We start from the raw sequence: 14,347 nt of genomic DNA on the forward strand, positions 1-14,347 counted from the left end.
TAGCCTGGCCAACATAGCAACACTCAATCTCTATGAAATTTTGTTTTAAAGTTAGCTGGTTGTGGCCGGGTGTGGTGGCTCACGCCTGTAATCCCAGCACTTCGGGAGGCTGAGGCGGGAGGATCACGAGGTCACCAGTTCGATACCACCCTGGCCAAAATGGTGAAACCCCATCTCTACTAAAAATACAAAAATTAGGCGGGCGTGGTTTCACACGCCTGTAATCCCAGCTACTCGGGAGGCTGAGGTAGGTGAATAGCTTGAACATGGGAGGCGGAGGTTGCAGTGAGCCACGGCACTACAGCCTGGGACAAAGCGAGACTCCGTCTCAAAATAAATAAATAAATAAATAAATAATAAATAAAGTTAGCTGGTTGCTGTGGGGTGTGCTTGTAATCCCAGCTACTTGGGAGGCTGAGGTGGGAGGATCACTTGAGCCCAGGAGTTTGGGGCTGCGGTGAGCCATGATCATGCCATCGTACTCCTGCCTGGGCAACAGAGTGAGACCCTGTGTCTAAAATAAATAAATAAGTAAATGGCAAAACTATGTCACACGAGTCAGAAATTATATCCAACACTTGGGCCTTACAAATTTCTTTTCCCGTTTATCTGTGAAATTTCTGGACATAACAAATGTTCTTTTTATTTCATGTCATTGCTGTTGCTTTTCATGTTCAAGTACTACAGTATTCTAAACACTGGTACCAGACACTCATATCAGATACTGCCCTGGAGAAGGTCAAGGGCTCTGAAATATACATTATCCTCATTAATCACTGTAAATAGAGAGTTTCAGGATGAAATTATTTAGAATATGTTATAATATGAATAACCAAAGACGACCACTTGCGTATTGTGGTTTGTAAAAACTGCCCGTGACACCTTCTTAGTGAAGATTCTGTTCCCCAAATAAGGATTATCTTTGAATAAAGTGATGTCATATTAGCTGGTGTGGAGATTCAATAATCCTGTGATGTTTCTTGAGAGAAGAGGGTCAGTTGGAGCTTCTGAAACCCATATTTTTGGTTGCTGTTCCACATCACAAAAATAAAATCCATCTCTTCCTTTATTTGTGTCATGTATACCTGCTTTTCTTGATGATGTGAATGATTAATACAAACTGTCACATTGATAGCTGATTTTAGAACGCTCATTTAAAAATATCTTAATTTCTGGGGTGGGATGCTGGGGGCGGAGTAGGGGCGGGGAGCAGCGCAGCCTCAGCGAAGGCGCAAGAGCAATGTGTGGAGTCAACGACACTTATCTTTGAGAACTTGCGGGTAGGGCGCTTTAAATTAAATATTAACATCTTAAAAATGAGGTCTGGGCTGGTTATCACTGCACAGAGGAGACCTAAATCGGGCTGTAGTGCTGAGGTCCCTGGCTCCACTGCACTGAGACAGAGTGCAAACTGATCTGCCTGTGGAGGGGGGTGGGGGTTGCAACTTCATTTTCCTCTGACATATTTTGTTGCCTGATTAATAGGCTGACACTAATTTAGGTCTCAGAAGACTAGGATGTTCTGTAACAGGATAGAGAAGGAAGCGGGGGAGGAGAAAAGGGGGAATAACAGAATGTGGGATGTCTTGGAATTTGGGCCTAGGGAAACCCAGGGCATATTTTAAAGACCTTACCCGCTAGCAAATTGAGAATGAAAAAGCCAGTGCCTTAAACAATTAATTTTGCTAATCATGCAATCTAAATTGTCACACTTAAGTATCTCAGTGTTGACCTGTTTAGACAATATGCCTTAATCCACAGGGGAGTAGTTTCAGTACATCATGTTTAAGTTAGCTAATTAATATCAAAAGCAGGGTGGAATTGACTAACAGGTAATTTAATCAAAAGATAATTAAAACTATTGAAAGTTACAAATTATTATTTAATTAATACTAGTTAATATTATAATTTTCAAAGTTTGAATTATGCTGATTAAAGCGTTCTCTCATAAATACCACTGAAAATTAATTACAAATTAATATAATCTGCTGAAACATCCTCTTAATGGACTTCCAGCTATTCTTGACTTTTGCAATAAATAAACATTAGACCCCATACTGCATCCCATCTTCCTGAATATGTTAGGCATTCTGAAAATATTGAGGCCTTCAACTCCCTGGGTTTCTAAAGGAATGCACATATACATTAGCACCTTTAATAGCAGAGAGGTTGATGCTTTTGCTGGGGTAGAGGCTGAAGGGCAGTAGAGGTGGGCAAACACTGAGGGGGAGCTCCACTAGCCAGTGCCTTTTTGGCTCCTCAGCGTGGCCTCGTTGCCTGTTTTAGAGAAGCTTCCAGAAGATAGTTGGGTGGGACATTAGAGGAGACAGTGGAATGTTGCTCTTGGCCCTTTGCTTCTTCCTGCACTTTGCTATAATCTCTGTCTGTGGGTGAATTCATTAGGAATCATGTGCAAGGATTCAGGTGAGTATGTTTGGGGAGCCTGAGAAAATCAGACCTTGTGAAGGAAACCTAACAGCCTGTGATAGAGCTGTGTTATATTATATATATTTGCAGAGAATATAGAGAAATAAAGGAGAAGTCAGGGGTAGGGTTTTAGGGAATAGATGTTTTCTCCTCTCTCATTTACCATAGAAAACCAAGCTAACAACACATCCATAGGAAATGTTCTTTGTATTATATTAGGGAATAGGCAGTATTTCCATACTAAAGTGGGCGAATACCCTCTAGAGCCTTAGAACACTGTAGAGATAACTCTTTAATGTTGCTTCTCCCAGTATTTAATTTTTGACTGTAAAGGGACCTAGAAAGAAGAAATGGAAGCCAGAAAGCTGAGCCAAAGGGAACTCTCTTTGGTCATTGAGGATTTGTGCTATTAACCTTTCCTAATAAACCGAGCATGTTGAGCCTCCCCCTCCTCCTGCCCCCAGTGTATAGCATCTAGCACTTTTGGAGTTGCCCTGTAAATATAAAATGACCTTGCTGCCTGTATTTATGAGGCAGTTAGATGCTGAATGGGATGTCATATAACCTAATACTCCATATAGAAGCTTCTGCTGAAATGTATATGCAGTAAAGACAGATTTACAACTGCCTTGAGTTTCCCTTTGAATTTCCAAGATTTATCTGAGCTTAAGGTCTCAACATTAGTTTCATGCTGCCAGAGCATTTTTCAGAATTCACGCTAGAACAGAATTTTGGGACTAGTGCTGAATTTCCTTTGATGAACATATGCTTTTGGTCTCTCATTTTCTCCAGAGGCTTTGACTGAAATTGAGGGTTATGGTCTTCATTTTGTTTTAGTCATTTACCATGGGCCACTATCAAAAATGCTTTTTCTTAATTGGAGCATTTTGGGAAAACTAATGAAGGAAAAATCTTGTCCCTTAAAAATTGAATCACAGCTGTAGTAGTAGATAAGACTGACATATTCAGTTCTTAGAAAGAGACAATCAATGTTGAATGCATCGGGTGAGTTCATTTCTGGAGCTTGGCTTTAATAGCTTATAAAGAAGATTGATTAAGTTCTTGTCTGATAGATCAATAGTGGAATGAAACTGAGCTTCCCTCCTTCCCCTCATAAGTGTGGATTCCCTATCTGCCTGGAGGCACAGAAAAGGCAAACATTTGTGCCTTGCTTTTCTTCAACGTGTTATTAACAGCAGCTATTATAATAGGGACAATATTTATAAGTTACCTAGATTGATTTATTATATATTAAACATTTGAGAAAGTTTATTAATTCATCTAACAAATAAGTCTATTTCTTTATGTTGCTGTGAATAATTCTGGCCTAGATAAGGATAAAAGTGATGACATTGAAAACACAGAGAAACGTCATGGATTTAAATCTTGAGATTCCGAATCTGCTCTTTATTCTAATCTGTGTAGCAAAAATTAGTTTATGAGTGTATAAAATTTTGGTTTTATATGTTTGTGTTAGATTTTAATGTGGAATAGTTTTTTATTAAATTAAATAATTTATTTTGTTATGTTAATAAAAATGCATATACATAATTTATGTGTTTACTCTTTAATTCATTTAATTTAATTCAATTTACATAATTTATACGCTTCTATTCAGGTTTTTTCGTTATTTTCTTTCTTTTTTCTTTAGCCTCATGGAATAAATCATGGCTGTTGAAATGAAACTGTGAAGCATGATGATTAGTTAGATAATTATTAAAAGTTTTCCATAATGATTAACTTGCATTTATTTGTAAAATATTTTTTAAATGCACTATCTCTAATTGCTTTTATAAACTGGGTAGGCCTTTCCTACTTATTAAGCTACTCCCCTACCATTTACATGTAACTAAATTCTCCTCTGATTTCCATGTGCTCCAAGAATAAAGACCAAAAGCCTTTCCCAGTCCCGTATGGCTTTGTGTAATCCAAACCTTACTTATTACTTCAGCCTCCAGTTACACCACTCCCTGACTCACACTGCCTTTTGTTTTCCTGCTATGTAGCCATTGAGACATTTTCCCCCCTTCTGCGGTGAACTCTTTCTCTCTGTAATCCTTCCCCCTTTTACCTGGTCACCTCTTACTTGACCTTAGTCAGCAGTTCATTCTTCACTTCCCCTGGGAAGCCTTTGATTCCTCAAAGGCACATAATGCTCTTCGATGGTCTCACATGACATCTTGAACCACAGTTTGTAGAATGCCTTTCTTGGTTTAATTAGTTGATCAATGTCTATGAGGACAGGGGCTAAGTCTATTTTTTGCTCATCTGTGCAATACAATAATAAGCAGGTAATAATAGTGTTCCTGGCACCTAGTAGATACTCAAAAAGTATTTATTTAATAATGAATTAGTGTCGACTATGGTACCACCTCGAACTATCCTTTTGCTTTAATCAGGCCTTCTCCCCGCTTTTAAAGAACAGGAAGAACTGCAGAATGCAAGGAGACCATTTCATAAAATGTATACACCAACTAACATTGCCTCTGATGGTTGAGAAACTGAATGAATCTATTCCTCCTTAAAGGAAAAAGAATCACATGATTTAATAAAGACTACTACTGAAGATTAATGTGTAAGTTCCTTCTTCTCTTAGAGAAAATTGGGAAGGTTTATGTGTGTGGTGGGGATGAGAGAGTGGCAATATACTGACAGAAGTGTTTGTGTTTGCATACTCACAGTAGAGGACCAGGAGAAGGAATGATAGTATTGTAAGAGTAAATACAGTGTTTTCCTCTGTGGCTTTACTGAAGCAAAGATCTATTGCCAACATCAAGGTGAGATTAAAATACTTTTTGTACAGCATCAGAAATAATTGTTTTTAGGGAGAATAATAGGCCATGGAGAGTAAAAGGGTGTTTCAGAGAAGCATATCTCTTCACACCTAAAAACACTCTTTTGGATACAAAGGGAAGAGCAGAAAGGAATTTATGAAATGAACAGATACAACATACATAATTGGGCAATATTGCAACCACAGATTATTCTGAGGTTAAAAATGGTATATTAAGAATACAAGAAGTTTTTCAAGTAAGAGAAATTGTTCTTTTTCTACCTTCTTTGCTTCATCTCTTTTCACTTTTTCTTCTTCACTTCTTCACATCTCTCATTCACTTTTTCTTCTTCTTGAATTTCAAAACAAAATTTATTACAGTACTTTCTAGGCATAGTGTTTCTTAACTTTCAGAAGTTGTGATGAGACCAAGTGGACCAAGGTGAACATTCAGTGCCTGCTTTGTCTCCAGCTCTTCCTTGCTTTTTTGTTTTTAAATGGCCAGGGCAGCCTTCTTGACCAAATTTATAAAATAGTAATAATGGCCAGGGCATGGTGGCTGATGCCTGTAATCCCAGCACTTTGGGAGGCTGAGGCAGGCGGATCACCTGCGGTCGGGAATTCGACACCAGCCTGACCAACATGGAGAAACCCTGTGTCTACTAAAAATACAAAAAATTTGCCGGGCGTGGTGGCACATGCCTGTAATCCCAGCTACTCTGGAGGCTGAGGCAGGAGAATCGCTTGAACCTGGGAGGCGGAGGTTGCAGTGAGCCGAGATCACGCCATTGCACTCCAGCCTGGGCAACAAGAGTGAAACTCCGTCTCAAAAATAAATAAATAAATAAAAATAATATAGCAATAAATGTTTCTACCCTGACAGGTTTTTAAAACAGAAATACTTTAAAGTTTCAGAAATATTATTTACAATAGAAGTTATTATAGAGATCGTTTAAAATTACATTAAACTTATTATTACATACATTAACATTACTATTACATATTAGCCGAAGTTGAAAGCACAGAGAGGTGTGTTTTATTTTACAACGAAGGCCTTTGTATGCTGCAATAACAGCAAGCATGTAATTTTTAATTAAACAGTCTTACTGATTTTTTAATAGTAGCATATGTATGGTAATATGAGAGGGAAAACTTTGGGATTTAGCCCTTTTCATAGTCTCAATGGCTTGATAGCTACAGTAGTGTTTGCATTTACTTTGAACTTTGTCTTATCAAATAATTTTTTAGACGAAAGCCATTATTCTGATCTGGCACCACATAAAGTTTATATTACTAATGCCTTTTAAAAATCATTTGAAATATATAAATTTCTAACTTTGGCTGGGTGCAGTGGCTCATGCCTGTAATCCCAGCACTTTGGAAGGCCGAGGCAGGAGGATCACTTAAGGTAAGGAGTTCAAGACCAGCCTGGCCAACATGGTGAAACACTATCTCTACTAAAATTACAAAAATTAGCCAGGTGTGGTGGGGCTGTGATCCCAGCTACTTAGGTGGCTGAGGCGCGAGAATTGCTTGAACCTGGGAGGTGGAGGTTGCAGTGAGCTGAGATTGTGCCACTGCACTCCAGCCTGGGTGACAGAGCAAGACCCTGTGTCAAAAAAATAAAAATTAAAATTAAAAATCTGACTTAAAAGGCTCAAATAAAACATTGTCTCTGTAGGGAGATACATTTGCCTTCTCCTTTAGAAAATATGGACAGAAAAGGAATATGAGGAAGAGTATTTGGCAATTTTGTAGTTGCTTTTATTTCTGTTTCACTTGAGCAGTTTATTGTCATGTTTTAATGAACATGAATTAAAATATGAAGAGTGATTATGGATCTATTTTAGGGTTAGTATTTTGCGATCACAGACTTATATTTTCTTTGCTGCAAAAGCTTTATTTGATAAAGATATAAACTGACTCCTTTGACAACTGGTAAAGTATTCTGCATGAATGTTTCTCAACCTTATTTGAGCAGTAATCTCTTTTCATTATAAACATTTTATAACTCCACTTACTATCCTGAGATTAAATTCATATTTAACATAACTTGCTACACACATAAATATTTTAAAAACTTAATGTAATTCACCAAATTGTTATGAAAGATAAGAAAAGGGAATGTGATTTATAATAAAATAATCCGTAGCTCAGGATGTAAATGCATGGTGGGACTGGATCAGAAGATGGAACAAAGTTGGCAGGGCTTGCCTGTGTATGATTGCTATGACTGTGACCATCGCTGGTAGAGCTGTGATGTATTGGCTACCAGGTGAAGTGAATTACCAAATGACTAATAATTCTTGGTACATTTATAAAAAACAGGATATAATCTTCCCTTAGTTAGAAGGTAGTTGTAGTTCCAGAAAATTCTGTTTATGTTAAACTTTTGGCAAAATGCGTTGTTTTTACTTTTAAAAAATGCTTTGTGTTTATATGTAAAATGGGTTATTTTGCATAATAATTATTAATGGATTTTTCCACTATAGGAGTGTTTTTCAAGATAACAGAAAATTATTCAGGATATGGGTCAGTTTTTGTTGTATGTGGGATTGATTTCCTTATTCTAAGACACCTAGCATCCCTGGCCTCTGCCTGCTAAATGCCAAAAAGACCCCCTCCATCATTGTAACAACCGAAAAGGTTCCCACATTTTCCAAAAAGACCCCTGGTGTTTTCCACTGAGAACCACATAATTACCAATGAATACTGCTGTATCCTAGATAAAGGAGATAGTGGCTCCTACTCCAAGCTAAGTATTATTAAATCTTTCATATTTATGTTCAATAACAATAAGTAAATAGGCTAAAATCATGTAAATATACAATATGATTTTTATCCAAAGATTAATTTTCAACTTGAAGATACCTGAAATTATAACAGATCCTCTAATGATGAGCATGCAACCATTTCTAGATTAAGAATTTTTAGAAGAAAAATGATTTTGGGATTTTGAGAATATTGGCCATAAAAATCCCCCAAAATTTTGCTAAAAAATGATCATGACCTCAACTAAAAGGCGTGCCTTAACAGTGAACTGAGGTCAAAAGGGGAGTGAGACAAAATGTGCATGGCATATGCGTTAGGGAAAAACCAGTTGTAGTGTGGTGTGAGTTAGGTTCCTTGGGATACAAACTCGGAGACAGCGTTTTGTGTGCAGGATGTTTATAAGGGACCCCTGGGGATCAACACCTGTGCAATCAAGACTGGACAGAAGGAGAAGTCAAGCTGTGATACAGTCTTAATACCTACTTTCAATGACCTCATGGGAGCTCCAAAACTAGGATAGCCTCTCAGAGTTGGACCAGGGTGTCCAGATATTTATAGTTTCAAAGTGGTCAGTCGTTGTATACAGGCTGATCCAAGAAGGAGTATGAATTTGAGCAAGTCCCCTCTTTGGAACTGCGCTGATCCCTGAAAGCCCTGACAGCGGAAGCCTGTCTGCTGACAGCACGCCCAGCAGAGAGGACAACAGGTCTTTTATTGAAGGGAGACGTGCATGGCACATCACAGTATTTACCACATAGATCTGGGCATCTGTTCAACTGGAATCCAAAAATTCAGGTTGGCAAGGATACCTGTGGGATCTGCTCTTTGGATGGGAAGCTGTGGCAGCAAGAACCTCTGGCATGGGTCATATTAATGGCAATATTTGCAATTATCATTATTCCAGACAGATCTAGCTATACTGAAAAAGAGAATGTGAGTATAGAAGACGAGTCCAGGCACCAGGAGCATAATAGCGGTCAGAGAACCAAGTCCAGGACCCCAGGCAGATTAGCTAGAGTTCAGGCAGGGTGTCAGCGCCAGTGGGGAAGAAAGAAACCAAGGAGCTGGAATACCGTCTGTAAGTTGAGACAGAAGGATAGCCATATGGCCTGGAAAAAGATGACAAGTTTGAGGAAATAGTTTGCATGTCAGAGGGAACACTCGAGGGACCCTGGCCAGAGGGAGGGATATATCCAGACACCCCATGTCTGAGTCAGGATAGGCTCAAAGGTTGCCCAGCACTGGACATCTTCAAAGATTTTTATTACTGTTTATTGCGTCAGGTGAAATCAACAACAGCTAAGAAAAAGGAGAAACACATTACAATGTAACTAGTATAAACAGTGGAAAATCACTGTGGTTTGAAGAAACAAGTTTTGGTTGAAGTAATAGTCCTAGCAAACTTCCTGCCTGGACTGTTTTTAGAGGATTTGGAAAAGCCAAGTAGCTGTCATCTCAAACTAAAGAAATCTGAGGTCTGTGTCTCCTAAAGAGAGGTGACTGTGGAACAGTAACACAGAATATCAGATTTCAATCTTCATGTTTCTCCTTTTGATGGGCACACAATCCAAATTCGAGATTTTAAGGTCCTGCACAATTTCGTTTCACCCACGTGTCCTTCCTTATTCCCCGGCCCCTTTCATGAGACGTGCTCCCTTCCTCCTCCAGTGCCTTAATGCAGCTTCTCCAGCTTCCGCAGCTCTTTACTCCAATCCCAGCCATCTGGGCTCACTTCAGATCACACCTTCCCTATGGAGATGACAAAATCTGCTCTACTGTAATGATGCTGGCAAAGCTTAATTGTTCTTCACTTATTTCATGGCTGTTTGTTTTATCTTCCCAGCTAAATAAATTGCAGTTCTTTTGAAAGAAAGGATCGGCTGGGTATGGTGGCTCATGCCTGTAATCCCAGCACTTTGGGAGGCCAGAGCAGGCAAGTAACTTGAGCCCAGGAGTTTGAGACCAGCCTGGGTTGCATGGTGAAACCCCATCTCTACAAAAAATACAAAAATTAGCCAGACATGGTGGCGTGTACAAGTAGTTTCAGCTACTTGGAGGCTGAGGTGGGAGGATCACTTGAGCCTGGGAGGCAGAGGCTGCAGTGAGCCGAGATGTGCAACTGCACTCCAGCCTGGGTGACAGAGTGAGATCCTGTCTCAAAAAAAAAAAAAAAAAAAAAAAAGATCATGTCAAAAGTTTCCTTGTTTCCTTTATATCTTTCACAGTGCTCAGAAAAGAGCTGGTCACCAGGTGGCTGCTAGGTAAACAGAAATCGATTGATTGACTCAGCCTGAGTTTATGTATTCAAATTCACATTTCCTGAATTAGCAGACATGGTCTTGTTTTTAAAATTGACTTTATAAGATCTCGTGTTTTCTTATATCTGATGGTGATGAAAATGTCTCACCTCAAACTTGTGAAAATATGAATTCCAATGAAGATAATTTTTTTCTTCCTCTTTTAGTGAGTATGTTTCATACTGTAGTCAAAATTTTAGATCTCTCTGAGAATTAACTTCTGTTTTATTACAGTGTGGCAATGCCATCTATTCATTGTCCTGAGAGATGCCTGCCCTGTCATCTCTCCTATGATCAGGACCCAAACTGTACTAAGTAGTAGCTATAGGGCAACATTAATTATTCTAGGGAATGTGTTTCTTTGGTAGAATCTGAAGTTCAGGATTAAGAGGACATCTTTCACTTGTAACATCTTGTTCCATTTGTGTTATTTAATTAGAGATAACTTCATACTATTAAGAGCTACTACTCTTGGATCAGATGCTGTTTTTTAAAGCTCAGTCCCATAAACCTCTATAGTCCACAAATATCATTTCCTTTTTGTGATACCTCTACAATATGAAGATTATATTTAACTCTCCTGGTTAATTCATTAATCTTATGCTTTATTCTTGACTTTATTCAAGGGGGGTAGGCATCGTGATAGGTATAGAGACCACTGTAATGGGGTCTTGCAGTGGATGAGAGACACTGAACTCAACTCCAAATATAACATGGGCAAGTGGGGATTGTAGACAAGGAGCAGGGTGAGCAGGGTGAGCAGGGTGGGGATCAGTGGATGGAAAATTACTAAGCAGAGACATTAGGGGTGAGAGATTCTTACGAGAGCAGCTCAACAGAATTGTTGCTGAAGGCAGGCCAGGGTGATAAGATATCCAGGGTGGTTAGACACTAAGGGTAAGGAGGTTTCCCTACACTGACTTAGCAGGATTCTTGCTCAAACTGGCTTGTACAAGGACAGAGAAGAAAGACCAAGGTCAAGCCTAGATGAGTACACATCTCAGAGGAGCCTGATTAAAGTTAGGTTAAGGAGGGGGTCTTTGTCACATGTTATTCTTTACATTTTACATGAGTTACTAATCATGATTGTGTTATACTTATGTGTTTGTACATATGTAATGTTACATGTAAGTATACATATAATATCTATTACGTCAATGAAATTTTTAAACAATGCTTATTATTTATTAGGCAAATATTTATGAAATGCCTGTGATGTGTCACTTATATAGGTACTAGAAATACAGAAGAGGGGCCAGACAAGGTGGCTCATGCCTGTAATCCCAGCACATTGGGAGCCTGAGGCGGGAGGATTGCTTGAGCCTAGGAGTTCAAGACCAGCCTGGGAAATATGGCAAAACCCTATCTCTGCAAAAAATATAAAAATTTGCTGGGCGTGGTGACACATCCCTGTAGGCCCAGCTACTCAGGAGGCTGAAGTAGGAGGATCACTTGAGTCTGGAAGGTCAAGGCTGCAGTAAGCTGAGATCAAACCACTGCACTCCAGACTGGTGACAGAACAAGACCCTGTCTCAATTAAAACAACAACAAAAAAAACCCAGAATAGAAGAAAATAGACAAAAATTCTTGCCTTATATTGTAACAGAGGATACAGACAATAACAGGTTTGAAAAGGGAAGACAGATAAGGAATAAGATAAATAAGTAAAATAAAGCTGAATAGGGAGATATAAAATGCCAAGAGGTTTTGTTTGTTTTTAAAGTTTAGTTTTGCTTTGCTGAAATTTTAGATAGGCAGGTTAGGGAATAAGAGGGTGACCTTTGTGCAAAGCTCAGAGAGAAGAGAAAGATGGAGCCACATAGATTTCTGGGCAAAAAGCATTCCGGGAAGAGGGAGAGGTGAGTGCAAAGACCCTGAGGCAGAGGGCCAAACATGCTCATGGAATACCAAGGAGGGGAGTGTGGCTGAGGGCAAAAGATGGGGTGGGGGGAGATTAGTTAGAGATGAGGTTAGATCTAAAGTAATGGGGAGCCCGATCCTGGGGGAATCCACTCTTGAAAGCTGTCATCAGGACTTTTAGTGAGATGTAAGCCACTACAAGGTTTACAGCACTGTGATGAAACAGTTATTATGACTATACCCATTCTACACGGTATTGTACAAATTTTATAGGGAGACTGCATGTAGCTCTTCATATTTAAAAAAAGGGAAAAAAATTAAAACACCTTGAAAAACACTCTCATACTAGAGTCACTGATAATATAATCCTATTGTATTTTTCTAGGGAGAGATGCCCTAATACTTATTCATGCATAACAGAAAGAGAGTTCCTTTATAATCTCAAGAAAACAAGACCATTTCATTTGGTAGATTTTTAATTGGGGAACTCCTGAAATTCCAGTAATGGAACATGAGCAAGGGTAGTGGAAAAAGTATTGGATTTGGAGTTATCTATATTTTTGGCTTCTTACTCCATTTTTACTAGCTTTCATTGATGGAAAGCTCACTAAGTGCCAGGCATTGTGCTAAAACCTTTAAGTGCATTACCTAATGTAATTTTGACAACATCCTGTCCATTAGGTACTATTATTTGAAAGGCGTAGATAGATAGATGAAGAAACTGTGGATTATAAAATTTAAATAACTTTCTTAAAGTCTTACTGCTGATAAGGGGAGGAACCTTTATTTAAGCGTACAAGATGTACAATGGCTTCTGATATCAAATCTCACATTCTACCTTCTAAAAAGCAGTTTAAAAAACCAATCCGTAATCACTGTGGCCAAGGGAGGTTTTGAAAAAATAAATAGCGGAAACCTTTCCATGTGTCCCATTCTGGACTTTTTACACCCAGATGGGACCAGGGGTCTCTTTACTTCAGGACTTTTACTGCCGAGTGCTTAGATTTTTACTTTGTGCTTGCTTAGAGTGACACTCTAAATATTAAAAGACGGGTTTTCTTTTTGTTTTTCTCTTCCTCTGTTTTCCTCTCTCTTTTCTCCTCCTCAGATAAGAGAATATCTACATATTGTCTTTACCCCTTCTGTCATTAGTGGTAATGGCCCCTATGTACTCTTCTGTGACTTTCCCACATTCATATATAAACATATATATTTCTTTTGCTTTAGAAAAATGGAATCATGTTATATAGACTTCTCTGCATGTTGTCACTTGACATTGGGAAAAATCCCTTGAAATCAGCTGATATTCAACCATTTCCTTATTGAAGCCGTTTTCTTTGTTTCCAATTCTTTGTGTTTCCGTGAACATATTTGAACATACAGTCTTACCTATTGATGGTTTTATCTTTGAGACTGATTCATAGGAATAGCATTGCTATGACTAGGTGATATATAGTTTAATTAATTTGTTATAATTAATTTTTAAAATTTAGACGGGGTCTTGCTTTGATGCCCAGGCTGGAGTGCAGTGGCATGATTATAGCTCATTGCTGCCTTGAATTCCTGGGCTCAAGGGATCCTCCAGCCTTGTTAAATGTTAAATCCCACAAAGTGCTGGGATTACAGATGTGAGCCAGCATACCTAATTTATATAGTTTTAATTTTATAGATATTTCTGAACTACTTTCAAAAACTTCTGTAACAGTTTACATTTGTAGCAACTAGTTGTTGCTATATGTTGAAATATAGCCATTTACCTGAGTCTTCACCAGAAGTAGATGTTACTTCTCCTTTTAATTATTTCTAATTTGATAGCATAAAATATCTCATGGTATTCTGATTTGCCCTTTTCTGTCTGGTAGAGAGGCTTAACATCTTTTTATAATTGTATTGGCCATTAGGACTAGTTTGTAAGATGTGTATGCAAATGCTTTGTACGTCTGTTGGGTAGTATGTTGTCTTATTTTAAACACTGAGATGAAATTCACATAACATAAAACTAACCATTTAAAAGTGAACAGTTCAGTGGTTTTTAGTACATCCATAATGTTGTGTGACCACTCCTACATCTAGTTCCAAAAATTTTTTTTCACCCGAAAAGGAAATACTGTACCTATTAACAGTTATTCCTCATTCCTCTTCCCCCAAACCACTGGCAACCACCACTCTGCTTTCTGTTGCTGGAGATTTACCTATTCCGGGTATTTCATATAAATGA

At 38.5% G+C, this 14,347-nt stretch overlaps 1 annotated feature.

Moving 5' to 3' along the window:
* Positions 4,185–4,789: an enhancer, noted in NCBI's record as "OCT4-NANOG hESC enhancer chr2:58724227-58724831 (GRCh37/hg19 assembly coordinates)". NCBI's record gives its function as "activates a minimal SCP1, AML or CMV promoter by ChIP-STARR-seq in naive and primed H9 embryonic stem cells {active_cell/tissue: H9 hESC(naive and primed)}" and the evidence as "EXISTENCE:reporter gene assay evidence [ECO:0000049][PMID:30033119]".

Source organism: Homo sapiens, chromosome 2 (assembly GCF_000001405.40).
Source record: "Homo sapiens chromosome 2, GRCh38.p14 Primary Assembly".
NCBI lineage: Eukaryota > Metazoa > Chordata > Mammalia > Primates > Hominidae > Homo > Homo sapiens.